Below are 15659 nucleotides of genomic sequence, written 5' to 3' on the forward strand. Positions count from 1 at the left end.
GATAATAACATTCTTCTATGTACATTTTTCTACTTATGCTTAATATCACTTGCAATATCTACACATATATGCATATTCTTTAGAATAAAAGAATATTTTCAATGTTTTGTTTATATATTTGAGGGTTTGAAACAACTTAAGAGCAACATTAGGATAATATTACTTCAAAGAAGCTTGTGAAGGAGGTATTGGGCAGAGAAATCCCACTGAAAAATTACCTTAAATGTTCACTGCAGTGAGATAAAAGCTTTAGATACCAGAAAAATGAAGAGTGTAAATAATTAACTATTAGGAAAATAAATATGTTTGTCTTTTTTTTTTTTTTTGAGACAGAGTTTCGCTCTTGTCACCCACACTGGAGTGCAATGGCGTGATCTCGGCTCACTGCAACATCCACCTTCCTGGTTCAAGTGATTCTCCTGCCTCAGCCTACTAAGTAGCTGGGATTTCAGGCGCCTGCCACCATGCCCAGCTAATTTTTGTATTTTTAGTAGAGATGGGGTTTCAACATTTTGGCCAGCCTGGTCTCGAACTGCTGACCCTGGTGATCCACCGGACTCGGCCTCCCCAAGTGCTGGGATTACAGGCATGAGCCACCATGCCTGGCCAGATATTTGTCTTTTTAAAAAATATATCAAAATGAGAGGTCAAGCTGGTCCTACCCAAAGTTCTTTACATTCTTTAAATGTAGGGGAAGGGGCCCTTCCTGAACATGCTACATAAAACCAGTAACATACCTCCCCAAAAAAGTAGCTCTTCTCCTCCTACCCCTTTACATTCTTTAAATGTAAAGAACCCCAAACCTTAGCATCATGCAATGTACCCTTGTAACAAACCTGCACATATATCCCCTGAATTTAAAATAAAAGTTGAAGTAGATAAATCCACATAAAGAACAAACTTTTTATGGCCTTAATTGCCTGAACCTAAATTTCATTCAGAATTCAGAGTTCTGCGCATGATACAATAAAGGAACATTCAGATGTGATTTCCCCTGCAAAGTATATACAGAGATTCCAAATAGTAAGTTATAGCTCTTCCTCACATGATGCTCACTAATTTACACACAAAGACATTCTGCATGTTCGTGCTATTCTATAATCTTACTCACAAGGGAGATTTCCATTTGGAAAAAAAAAGTAAATTATGAAAATTTTCCTCAGTGTCAGTATATGTAATTTCTATGGTAAATATAAAAATTACAGGATATTCAGTTATAATTCCCACCCAATTTATTCAATAATTAAGTATTGAGTGAGTCTTATATGCTAACAACTATGCTAGATCATGAATTGTCTGAGTATGAAAATAAATGTTAACAGGTTTCTAGCCTTCAAAGACCCATGGCCTTTCTCCCATTAAGAAAAGAACCTAGGTGGGAATTGAACAATGAGAACACATGGACACAGGAAGGGGAACATCACACACCAGCGCCTGTTGTGGGGTGGGGGGAGGGAAGAGGGATAGCATTAGGAGATATACCTAATGTTAAATGAAGAGTTAATGGGTGCAGCACACCAACATGGCACATGTATACATATGTAACAAACCTGCACGTTGTGCACATGTACCCTAAAACTTAAAGTACAGTTAAAAAAAAAAGAACTATTTGTCTTGAAGTTATGTAATGTAGGAGTTAAACCACAGAAAAGCACAAGCTTTGACATCAGACCAAGTAGATCAAAATTCTAACTCACTCTTTTTCTTTTTCTTTTCTTTTTTTTTTTTTTTTTTTTTAGAGACAGGTTTCACTCTGTTGCCCAGGCTGGAGTACAGTGATGTGATCATAGCTCCTTGCAGCCTCAAACTCCTGGGCTCAAGCAATCCTTCCACTTCAGCCTCTTGAGTAGCTAGAATTACAGGTGCACATCATGATGCCCACCTAAGTTTTAAATATTTAAAACTTTTTTGTAGATGGAGTCTTATTATGTTCCCCAGGTTACTCTTGAACTCCTGGCCTCAAGCAATCCTGTTGCCTAGGCTTCCCAAAGTGCTGGGATTACAGGTGTGAGTCAGCACACCCAGTCCTAACTCACTCTTATAATACATATATGCTATTCCATTGTATGGATGTAGCAGTATTTATCCAACCAGTCCCCTATCGATATAGTATGCATTCAGTGTTTTCTGTAATGAGGTGACATAAGACAGTGTTGCAACAAACACCCCTGCACATAGAGCCTTATGTTCTGATGTGTTTATTTACACAGAAATTAAAAGCAATAGCCTCCAGATTGCTGCAATAGTCTAACTAGTGTGCCTGTTCTGTCCTTGTTCTTTTATCATGCACATAAAAATTAAAACTTAGACTGTGTCAGTCTTCTGCCCCAATCCATCAGTGGTCTGTCAGTTCTCTTAGAGCAAAAGACAAAGTCCTTCGATGACCTGTGTCTTTCTGTGAATTGCTCATCTTCACCCTCGGTATCATTTTGACCCCATCTCCTACCACTCCCCACCACAGTCGCTTCACTCCAGACACACTGGCCTCAGCACTATTCCCTGAATCCAACACGACGCAAGCCCTCACCTTAGAATTTCTTGCATTTGCTTGTTCCCTCTACTTGGAGCTGCCTTTGCTTAGGTATCTGCATGCCCCACTCTCTCACATTCTTCAGGTCTCCACTCAAATGTCACCTTCTCAGCGGCGCCCTTCCTGAACATGCTAAATAAAACCAGTAACATACCTCCCCAAAAGAAGTAGCTCTTCTCTTTCTACCTCACCTTATTTTGTTCAAAGCATTAATTACATCTGACATACTTTGGATTGACTTGTTTATTTGTTTATTTTCTGTTTCCAGTCCTACTCCAAATAAGAGTACCACCCACAGGGGTAAGGACTTACTTTTTCTACTGCCATATCTCTGGTAACTAAAATTGTGCCTGGCACATACTAAGTGCTCACTTGATTTTTATTAAATGAATTGATAAAGGAATTAAAGAGCCTTAAAGCTTGGCTAGATGCTACCAGATTAATCTCCCCAAAATGTTGCTGCAATCAATATTTTTCTGCAAGATGTAAGAATGATTGTAACTACTTCCCCATACTTTTACCAACTCTAGACATTATCGATCTTTTTATTATTTATGTATGTACTTATTGTCTAAAGGATAGTTGCAGCTTTTATCAAATAAATGTGAAACTCTAATGTGTAACCAAACATACGTATTTAATTTACTTCTATATGCTCCTAAGTGACACACTGCAAGAATGCAAACAGAAACAATGCAGATAACTGAAGTTCTGAGCTAGGTTTTTAGCTCCAACAATTAAAATGCAAATCAAATACCTCTTCAAGGAGACCTGTCTAAGGAAGCAATCTCTCAGTTTCAAGGAAGTATCTTTCAGCCAGCACCATCCTTCTGTGAAATAAGCAGCTTCTTTGGCAAGTCTGAAAGAAAGAATGGGGAAAATGAGAGGATCACTCATTATAACTGCCCTCCTGGAGTTCTTTCAAGAATATGCTTCCATGACAGATAAAGGGAATTCAGAGGCTAAGAGGCACTCTGTTAAGATTTACAGGCAGCTCTGGCATAGATCCAGATGCAAGATAAATAACAAATGTGCACGGGAAAAGAAGGATGTGACAGAGTGAGAATATCCTTCATATGACATGAAAGGTAGTGATTCTGGGGATGCAAACTCAGCCTGTTGAATAGTCCTTGAAAATGGCATTTTAAAAGAACATCGAGCAGTTGGAAGACCTATGGGGAAATTGACAGAATCCAGAACTAGACAGTCATGTTGGAGTATTGTGAGGCATGGATTTTTCTTTAAAAAAGTCTCAGTGTTAAAAGATAATTTCCATTTGTAGTATAGAAATTACAAAGTCGGGTCATTTTTGGATAATTCTGAGTTAATAAAATGAGAGCATAAACCAAAATTAACACTAAATTCACTCATTTTTTATTTTCAAGTTATTCTTTTCTCTTATATTTAACAGGGTTTTGGGAAGGAAGACAGGTACCTTTCCAAATTGCAAACTACAGATGTCCTACAAAACCCTGAAATATTCAGGCCTACTTCAGAAATTAGCCAAATTCCCCATTTTGGAGATAAAACTTAAGTTGGAGGTAGAGCCAATAAAAAGATAAAATATTGCCAGACTACAGAAAATTCAGATGATTTCAATGATGTTGCCAACAGATGGCAAATGCAGGGCAGTGGAAGATAATGCCAAAATAATTACCTCTCAAGCCAGAAGCCAAACTAGGGAGTCTACTCTGAGAAATAATCATTCTACTCACTGCTCAGGGAAAGGACAGGCACACACACAAATATTAGGAGGAAAATAATCAAATCTATCGAAATAAAGGAAGAGTACTGAGATTAAATTATTCTATCAAAGGAAATGGAAAAAGAGAAAGAATAGTTTAGATATGCCTCTTAAGAATAACATTGTATGAAAGTAATTCAATAATAATAATGTTTGCCTTTTTAAAGCCATATGTGCTAGACCTTCTGTCAAATGCTTTTATAAGTATTTTCTCATTCAACTCAGGATAATGCTGTGAGCTTGATTTTATTATTACTCAGATTTTACTGGGGGATAAAGAAGTTAAGTTCTCTTTCCAAGGTCACATAACTTGTAAGTGGTGGAGCCAGGATCCACTACTAGACATTTTGACTACAGAGACTACACTCTTCGATATTACACTGTGTATAAGGTCAAATTTTACAGGTAAACAGCTAAAAAGCAGCTTAACTTTCTATCTGAACCCAACTATATAAGCCTGGTACATGACAATGTTACTCTGTTCACCTGAGACTCAAAGACTCATTGATCCAAACATTTAATTGGCACTTACTGTATCACAAATGTCATATGAGGCACTAGGGAGAAGATAATTTCAGCTCAGGAAGAGTATATTGTGTAGTGGGTGGCATTAGGCCATTCTTGCATTGCTATAAAGAAATACCTGAGACTAGGTAATCTATAAGAAAGAAGTTTAACTGGCTCACAGTTCTGCAGGCTGTACAGGAAACATAATGCCAGCATCTGCTTCTGAGGAGGCCTCAGGAATCTTTTACTCATGGTGAAAGGCAAGGCAGAAGCAGGAAGTTCACATGGTGAAAGCAGGAGCAAGAGAGAAAGAGTGAGGAAGAGGAACCACACACTTTTAAATGACAGGCTCTTGCAAGAACTCACTATCATGAAGACAGCATCAAGCCATAAGGGATCTGCCTGCAGTATCCAAACACCTCCCACCAGGCCCCATCTCCAGCATTAGGGATTCCAATTCAACATGAGATTTGGGTGGGGACAAAAATCCAAACTATATCAGTGGAGAATAAGATAGATATGTTAACAAATAATCATAATGCAATGCAAGAAATGGCATGCTAGCAGATACATTCATGGGAAGGTGGGAAGAAAGAAAGGGATGAGAAGTAACTGAAAGAAATAAAACAGAATATCCAAAGACATTAAGTTGGCATTCATAAAAAAATTCAAATATGGAATGCAGATTGTGACAAAAGAACATAACTATTAAAAATGCATGAAAAAATGCATGGAATAACTTTGCTGAAGAGTGTGCTCATCTAAGTAACTTTGGAAAGGAGTGAAGACTGTAAGACTAAATACAAAGGAACCTAACATAAGCACTATACTCTCCTTGATAAAGTTGTTTTCCCTGGGGATATAGTTAACAGGTATTTTAAAACTACATGTGTATATTGTAATTTTACAATAAAGTAAATGGATGATGGATGATGAGAGCAAGATTTCTCACTATTGGAGTGGTAGATAACAGACAAGCAAAGGGACAAGACAAGAAAAATCCATGTGGTAATGTTTACAGTTGGGAACATCAGTATGAACTCCTGTCTAGCTTAATACAGATGCAGATGGAAATGTTTAGGGATGTGCTTGTGTGTGTGTTTATGCACAACTTAGCATACACACATGTATTTTCTTGTTCTGTCAACTATAACGGTCTACAAGAGACAATACACTAGTAGCAACACCTAAAGCCCAGATCTTGGTTTCTGATACCTTTCTCCAATAAAGGAACCAAATATCTTTAGAGAAATATCTGATTCTAGGACTGCGGCAGTAAATGTACAAGATGAGTCTGGAGCATGTTATATTCAAGAATAAAAAGAAAGAAATCCACATGGATAGGTTTATAACAAAATAATGGCACATGAGCTAACTGCAAGAGCTCCTAATGGCCAAAGCAGGAAGAGTAATGATAAAATTATTTTCGATTATAACCTAAAATATAAAATAAATATCCATTAACCCATATTAATATAAATAGCTAATTAAATAAATAGATGAGAGAGAACTAATAAGTTTCTCATGCTGAAGAATTCCAAATAATTTACAAAGATACCCCATTCTCAAGGAGGAGAAATAGAACTCTATAATAGAGAAACCTGACAAACACTACTTCAGCCAGATAATCAAGGTTAATATCAACAGTGGTTGCATATGTTGATTAGTATGTGCCCCTGCTATGACATGATAATAATGACACTTTGCTTCTGTGGTCTCCCTCCCAAATTCCCATAACACCAGTATAATCATAAGCAAATTACAATATAAATCACTACTGAAAAATGTTCTACAAAATGCATGAACAGCATTCCTTCAAAACCATCAAAGTCAACAAAATCAAGCAAAGTCTGAGAAGCTGTCCCAACTAGGAGGAGCCTAAGGAAACAGGGCTATGTGAAATGTAGTATCATAGATAGAATCCTAGAACAGAAAAAAGACATTAGGCAAAAACTAAGAAAATATGAGGAAAATGTGAACTTTAGTTGATAATAATGTGTCAGTGTTGGCTCATTAATTGTAATAAGTATATCATGCTAATGTAAGATATTAATAATAGGTAAAATCAGGTGTGGGGTATCTATCTGCACAACTTTTGTATAAATCTAAAACTATTTTATATTTAAAAGTTTATTAAAATCAAAGATCCATCACAAAAATTAAAAAGAATTCAAAGAATGTGGAAAAGAAAATTAAATATTTTTACATTTATGAGATTTTATAAAAAGAAAAATAGCATTCGTTGAATATGTATCTCCAAATATTAAGAAAGTAAGTACCCTAGAAACATATATACATGAGAAAGATGAACATTTATCCTCAATATACAAAAAATTCAAAGAATAGAGCAACTTTTTAGCAAATTCTGAGAGGTAGAAGAACTTCTGGGGAAAAAAAAGGCTTAAGCAAAGAGTTGCGGGATAAACTAATCTGAACTTCCTGAAGTGGATAGAATTTGTATTACTGAAGGATAAGATTGTCTCCTTGAATGGCTCTCTCTCTGTCAATTTCTAGAAGTCTCTTTCTTGTTTTTCTTATCAAAACATTAAAAAAGATGAGCCTGAAATGAACTACCAACAACTGAATTAACTATGGTCAATTTTCACAGTAGTTGAACATAATAGGATCATGGAATCTCAGAGCAGGTAAAATCACCAGGGTCAACCCCTCATTGTGAGGAAACTGAGACCCAGAGAGATAAGGTGTCTTGTCCTACAAAATAGGTATAACTGGTGACTCATTTGACACTAGAGCCAAGTTTTCTTTAACTGCAGGACCATGCTTTTACCCATGTATGACACCAGTGATGGAAAATAACTGCTACATGTTACTTCTTGCAGCCATTCCTTACTTCCTTACCTTTCTCTCTTTCTCTCTCTCTCCAATGTTTGTCTATCACAATACATTTTCTAACAGAGCAGATAGAGAGGTTAAAATGCCCTCTACCCTATGCATCCCATAGTCTAGATAATGAATAAACTTATATTCCATCCTTAAAGACAAAATGTTGTACTAGTATAAAGCAGCTATGCCCTAAGGTGACAAGTTAATCCTGGAACCAAAGCACACCACCTCACACCAACATGCTTCAGACCATAATAAACTCAGAAACTTCATTAAACTAATGTTTGCTTATTAAGCTGGAACCAATTAAAAGTAATCAGACAAAAAAGAGTGATCCATTTCTTCTAATACATTAATTCAATTTGGATGAAAATAAGCTATACCTCAAATTAATCACTTCAATGGGAGTTGGTTAAAATGGCTAGGTTTTCTAGCCCATCAATTTTAAAACTAAAATGAAGAAAAACACAAAAGCAGTTTAATTTCAATAAAAGTACAGCTTTGAACCTCAAAATAATCAGATATTGAGCAGACGCAGCTATTTTTCCAACTTATATTCTAATTAGTTTTCTCTGGTCTAAAACTGATAACGCACCCTATAAACTTGCAAATTTAGTAATTATCTGTAAAAATCTTTTTCTTTAAATAGCTTGGGAGTTGTCTGCTGGGACTAAAAATATATGCAACCGATACAGAAATGTTTAAAAGTGAAAAATTTGCCTGTCTGAAATGTACTTAGAAATATGAAAAATCTGTGCTTAAATAAGTTGCTTCAAAATTGCCTCATTTCAAATTTATTAAACTTTCAAAATCTCAAAGACAAAAGAAAAATGTCAGCAGTTGATGGTAAGCAAGCATAAACTTTATATTGTTATAATGTTTCACAAACCACAAAATTTGAATTTCAGAGCAGAAAAAAATCTTTGCAACCACCTAACCCCAATTTTCACATTTGTGCAACGTATCCACAGAGTTTAAGTAATTTTCTAGGAGGCACACAAGTAGTTGGGATTAGATCCCAAGGGTTTTGCCTGTTGGTGCAACGCTTGCCACCTTTTTCATAATAACATGCAGCCCCCTCAGTTTCTTGTCTTCATAGATGAGTGGCTGCCATTCCTTATATAGTATGAAACCTTCATTCTCGTATTCTCATGTGTGTTTTCTTGGTTTCACTTCACCCTAAAAGTCGACACTATTTACTTTGGGATCTTTATTTCTTCAAGGAGAAAAATACGTGACTATTTGCTCTATAGCTTGAATCAATAGGTCTAAAATATAATAAACCTTTTTCTTTTCCTCTCAGCATCAGGTGACAGTAAGTAAAGTATATTTTGCAGACACAGGATAAACAAAAGAAAATATGACAGTGAATGCTAATTAAAAAATAATCATGTTAAGTACAGCGCCCTCGATGACAACACATTTGGCTTGCTGGTTAATTCTAGGTGCCAGAGTGAGACTTTTTGACTTCAAAGCCTTCTTCTTCCACTGTTCAGCTGTGTGACCGGAAGTTACACCCTATTTTTATAGTTGAAAATAGATAGGTAGATAACATAGAAAGAGATAGAGTCATAAAATCAGAGCAAGGAAGTTCAGTAAAGTCCCTGGTGTTTCCCACAAGGACTGCCTTAATGCTTCTTTTAGAAATACCAAATAACAAATTATTTCATTATCTTTTATCACTCTCGGCTTTACCAAACATTTTTGGCTTGCCTATTATGCAAGCCAGGGCTACTAACACAGTTCCTTAATATTTCTAAGTCCCAGGTCTCCTCATCTATAATGCTTACTCACAGAATTTAATGAGACAGTAAATAGTCTGCTGTAAGTTGTCTGTTGAGATTTGGAAGCCTTTTCACCCTTTTCTGTACTTTCCCTTTTACAGCAAAGACTAGAAGCTTAAGAGCTGGATTTCCCAGGCTCCTTTATGGACAGGATTCTGGATACAGATTAGGTTCTACCAATTTTGGTGAGTTTGTAAGACAGAAGGTGGCCGAAGCATATTTCTCTTCCTCTGGCAGTGACAAGCAGTCGTTTGACCTTCTCTCCTTGAGTCACCTTCCTTGATGCTACACATTTTATAAATTTTCTCAACATGAGAAAAAGCAGCAATTTCCTGATCCTCTAAAAATCTACAGCAAATAGAAAACAAGTGACAGCCTTTCCTGACCTTCACTCTTGGAGACCATCCAGTGGTTTTCTAAGCACCTAATCCCCTGTATTAAATTCCTTTCTTCTCAAAATAGTTAGGGTGGTATCTGTTTCCTGACTGACCTCACTGATAAACACATAATGTATCCATCACAGCACCTTGCTCTCATAGGCACTCAATAAAGGATTGCTTGAAAACAGCAGCAGGAGTAGCAACGCCAACAGTATTAGTAGAGGCAGTAAACTCAGTCTCCACTTTCTCTAACAAAACAAGAATAGCGGACTATCCAAATTAGGGAAAATTCTGGATTATGGCTCTCATAAGAGAAATATTACATTAGTATTTAGAATTAGATATAGTAGTTTAATTCAGCTATCATGTTATTTTGTAGAACTATGTTTGGGTTTGCAAGTATTGTTTGTGCATTTTATGTTCATGTGATTTGGAGAAATGATTTTTAAGCAAAAAAAAAAACAGCATATCTGTGTTCAAATCTCACTCAGCCACTTACTAACTGTGATTTAGCACAAGTCAACTTTCTATGCATTGTTTTCCAACACAAAATAAAATCGCTGAAACAAATGCTCATAGAGGGTCTGCTCAGCTGTTTAATGCTGTGCTTTTAGAACTAAGTATGTGAAGGCTTTTAAGGTCCTTGAAAACTAATGCCGGAAGTGATTTAAATATTCCCCTGAAACCATATGTATGTGATTAATTTTCCTAAGGAAGAAAACATTTGCATATCAAAAGGTATTTTTCATTTTAATATAGCCTAGCTCCTGTCCCAATTACTATCAAATTTTTATTAATAAAATAATGTTGTCTCATTTCAACCAATTTACAGTCAAGAGAAAAGAGACAGACCTGAAAAGTATCCATTTATTCCATTCATTCCAAGGATATCTCAGAGGGCAATAATATACTGGTCTTTTCAATCATCAAAAACCATACAAACAGTAGCTTCTGGCAAAAAATAAAATAAAATAAATACATTTATAAGGCGGGGACAGATAGAGAGAGAGGGACACAAAGACACAGAGAGAGAGAGATGAAGAAAAAGACAGAGAAAAAGACAGAGGGAGGTAATATGAAAATATTTTGAAAAGTGCAAAGCACTGAATGAATGTAAATATAAGAGGTTTCAACCACCTATCTGAAGAAATCACCAATCAATGAAATCCATTTCTTTATTCTGCTAGAAAATTTAAGTTCTCTAACGCAGTCCAGCATATATTGATTAGAGCATAAATTCTGGGTAAGAGCAGACATGGAGTTGAATTTCAGATTCAGTAATTACTAGCTGTTTGATTGTAAACAATTTAATTTTCATGAGCTTCAGCTTCATATTAGTAAAAGGAAAACAATAATAGTAATCGCATAGAATTGTTTGAATTAACTAACAAGATTCATGTACAAACATGGATAACACCTATTAAGGTATTTACTATATAGCAAATGCTCCTTACGTGTTAGTTACTCACAGAAATCACTCCTCCAACCAACCTGCTGTTTCATTTCATGAACTATCTTTTGCTATCCCACTGGTATCTTTTTTTTGGCAATTTTATTATTATAAGCCTAGCTCTAAAGAATTAAACTGATTTCAGTTTTCACCACTCTGGACCTGTGAAGAGATGCTAGAAGGAAAAAAAATTGAATTCAGAAAGTAAATTCAACTTATTAAGTTGAAACCAAAATAGAATTATAAAGGAAAAGTTTGGTTTTGGTTTCAATTGGTGATTAGGAATACTCTATTCTGTCACAACTCAATCTTTTCATCTATTTTTGTTTTCAGCAGGTTCTGGGCCATCCAGTTCTAATCTCCTTTATAAGAACGTACTTTCAGCTGGAAAAATACCAACATGTGAACTGCTCAGATTACCTTTAGTGACACACAGAATTTCTCAAATCTAAAGGAAAGGGTCAAAAGATGCAAATCCAAGGGGCCTTGGAAAAATATTTTTAATATACCAATAAATTGGTGCTTTGTCAGTCAGATTTCTCCAAATGTGGTCCATGGCCCATCGTGGGCTGCCACAATCTCCACGGTGGGCCATGGTCTTTTCCAACTCAATGGAGTTGGAACAAATATTTACTAAGCATAGTATGTGCCAGAAACTATTCGATACTCAAGATACAGTGATAAATAAAACAGAAAAAGTCCTTGATCTATTGGACTTATATTCTAGTATCTAGAGACAGACACATAAAAATTAATAAGTAATATATTATCTGGCAAATGATACAAGTGCCTTAGAGAAAAATAAACAGGAAAGGGGAATAGAAATACCATGATAGGAAGAGAGGCTCAATTTTAAATAGTGTGTTCAGTGGAAGCTTCAGCAAGATGATAACATTTGAGAAAAGACCTAAAACAGACGAGTAGCAAGTCTTTTGCATATCTGGGGAAAGAGTATGGTAGGCAGAAAGAGGATCAAGGCAAAAACATTGGGGTGAAAAAGTACATGCAGGCCATGTGGCCAATCTTTTCTTATTAAACTATCTTTTACATTGAATGAGCCATGGGATATGTCAACCTTCCCAAAATGAACTCCTTTCAAAAACCTGGAAAATCTTCAGATGTACTTTTGTAAGACGAGCCCTGGACAGTGGACACCCAGGAAAATTATTCAGAATGACAATATGATGCAATTTTTTAAGTCTAAATGAATATCACATCCAGCTATTGTGGTCACTGCTACTTAAATGTAGAAAATAGAACCCCTCTGAGTAAAGACTAAAGAATAGCAATCATGCAATATGGCACTCATTCAACAGTTAGTGAAATATTTATAAGCATGCACTATGTTTCATGTATTATTTTTGTATTATCAAAAATACAAATAAGAAGATTGCATTTACTAGCATCTTGGTCTTGGCTACATAACAAGGACATGTACACATAGTCATGTGATAAAACAATTCAAGCACATGGAATCAACCTTCCACACCGCCAAGCACCATCACCAACATTCTGGAGAAAATTTTCTTTGGAGTCTTACACTACAGATATGGTCATCTCCATTCACAAACAATCAGGAGATTACCTATTTAATATTATTCACAAGTACTAGATAGCATCAATTCTGAAAATAGATACAGACAGATTAGATTATTCTTTTTTAACGGAGGTGAGTTTCCCATGAAGCAAAGCAAGAAATAAAGAGGTATTTTGCAGGAAAAAATTTCCAATTATTCTTTGGCTGGACACTTCTTTGGATTTTGTGGATGAGGAAAAGAGAATACACAATTCCCCCTGATTATCTGTTCCTATAATGAAAATCTGTTGCATTTGCCCAAAATCCATTCTCCCTTTCTCTTGGAGAATCATCCCCTCCTCCTTTCTGAGTCAGACCATTTTGATTGAGAATTACAGCTCCAGGGGTGAGCAAGTGATCCAAACTAAGACACAGTACTCCTTGTCCCCTTGCAGGGCCAGCTTCATTGGGGAATGTGTGAGCCATGTAAATATATAGGACCCTGCAGTCGGAAGGGTCTCACAATTGGCTTAATGTGTTACAGCCTCTGTCTCAAAATAGGTAATAATTTTGTTTCTGAACTTGTGTTTTTTAAGGAAAATCCAATGGGACAATAAGGTTTCCATGTGAGCAGAGTAAATATGCACAATGTCCATCACTCCATGCTACCCCATTCACTCATAACATTTGCATGTAGCATTCACATGGCCCCATGAATACAGAATTTCAGTACATTAGAGTTCAGTGATATTCAAAGCAGGAAGGTATCATTTGCATCTAAAACTGAATAATTGAGGGCCCTGAAAGCCACATTTTTCTTTTGAGCCAGAATTTCCTTCAATAGGAAAAGAAGGCAATTGCATTCTAAGAAACACGGGTGACCAGAGAACCCTATCATATTCATTTTTTCCAGTGTAACATTCCTGTATTATACAACCACTTAGCTGATAATGACGACATTCTAGAAGGAAAGGAAAAAACGGGGCAACTCAGAATTCCTTTTTCTTTTGGTCCTTCCTTACTCATCAATGAGTGGGACCTAGAGAATATTGACAGAATGAGGACATATCAAGAAGTGAAGTTAGTATGATGCAGCATCTCTACATTTCTGGTAAGAACAAAATCCATATGCATGAGAAAGTTTATACAACATAAATTTTGTAATTTTGACGAATTTGTATATGAATTAAATGTCATTTAAAACTGGCATTGCATATATAAAGACAAATGGTAAGGTCTATGCTAATCATTTAAAATTTAAATTTTCTTTACTTAGAATGACATTAAACAGCAAATAAAAAACACCATGACAAGTTGAATGTGAGCATGGAAGAAAGAAACTTCATATTTAATCACCTTTAACAGCACTCTTTTCTTACTTTTTGAACAAGAAACTTCACACTTTCGTTAGTCACTAAGCCCCACAAATTGTGTAGCTAGGCCTTCTTCCTGGCCACCGCAATTGGTTCAGAATGGGCATATGAATTAATCAAGGCCAATGAGAGTTAAGATCATGGAGTTTTTGGGGTTTTGCCTTTTTATTAAAAAAAAAAAACAAAAAACTTTTATTTTGGTTTTCTTTCCCCTGGAGCAAAGAAATATAGAATGTCTCTTTCCACTGAAAGCGATTAGGAATACAACCCTGGAGCTCCTAATGGTCATCTTACTGCTGAATAATGAAAATGCCAGAGAAAAAAAATGACCCCAGAGGTAGAAAAAGATTCCTCACGGTATCATCTGAGCATCTGAGCCCAGCCATGCCTGCTCCTCCTATGTTTCTATTTTGTTCGGACTAGTTGAGATCAATTCCCCTTTTGCTCAAGCTAGTTGGAACCAAGTTTCTATTATTTACAATCAAAATATTCTTGCTATTAGTATTCCCTTGACACACACCTTTGATGTGCTCCTGCTCCTTTGCCTGTGGAATAAAGGCAGTCCTTATGAATTTAGCATTTACTCCAGGCTCCTACCCGACTTTCCACTTTTTCCTTCCATTATGCAAGCCGCACACTTGTGTTCTGGCTGGCCACCCCCCTCTGCTCCTGGTTGTGCCTTCCTACTTGTGCTTTACTTTTACTATTTCCGTCTACACCTAGAGACCATGTGACCTCACTTACTGCCTCATAATGCTGCATCACATCTTTCAATACCCACCTGCAATGTTCTTTCTCTAGAATGATCTCCCTGTTTGTCCTCAAAACCATGTTCTTTCCATTTCTTTAAACATTGTTATTTCAAATATACACTTGTGTAATAATAATTATCTATACCCCTCACTAAATTGTACATATTTCAAAGGTATCCGAATTTTCTACAGTGTCTAGCGCAGATACTGGTACATACTTCTTGTTCAATAAGTACTAGTTGAATTGAATTAAGTGGAGGACTGAAAAACAACTGAGAAGAAAATTCAAAACACTCAGGAGGGTAGGAAGAATCAGAAACCTTGATGAACTCCGGCAGTGATCTCTTAAGTAGGCTATTTTGTGTCATTCTTAATGTTATTTTTGCCTGAGGGAAGACACAATAAATAACATTTTAAAAAACCAGATAATCTATTCCTGCTTAATGCTTAGGATAAAATGGACAGTTCAGTTCATCAAGGAGACAAACTCTACCAGCTTCGGCTCTGAGTCTCTCAAGTTGCAGTTATCATCTTTTAGGCCAAAAGTAGCACTTCGAAATAGAAAGTCTCATATCATATACTAAACTGTTTTAGGTTCAATAGAAGCATAAATTCAAAAAGGTCAAAGTCACACTTTTTTTTTTACATTTTTATGGGTACATAGTAGGTATATAATTTTCATCCATCCCTTCCTCCCTTCTACTCCTAAAATACAGAAAGTATTCAATAAACACTAGTTGAAAGTTTTTTCTTGCCTTTTTTTTTTCAGACGGAGTCTC

The 15659-nt window shown here is 36.0% G+C and overlaps 1 long non-coding RNA gene across 2 annotated transcripts in view; it reads right to left on the reverse strand.

Moving 5' to 3' along the window:
- Window positions 1-3148: 3148 nt before the first annotated feature.
- The window catches only part of LOC105377700 (uncharacterized), a 348217-nt gene continuing 335706 nt past the window's right edge, over window positions 3149-15659 (reverse strand). For both annotated transcript variants that reach the window (XR_001742961.2, XR_002956233.2), the window contains one exon: window positions 3149-3389. This is a non-coding gene — a long non-coding RNA (uncharacterized LOC105377700). The remainder of the gene's footprint in view (window positions 3390-15659) is intronic.

Source organism: Homo sapiens, chromosome 5 (assembly GCF_000001405.40).
Source record: "Homo sapiens chromosome 5, GRCh38.p14 Primary Assembly".
Classification (NCBI taxonomy): domain Eukaryota; kingdom Metazoa; phylum Chordata; class Mammalia; order Primates; family Hominidae; genus Homo; species Homo sapiens.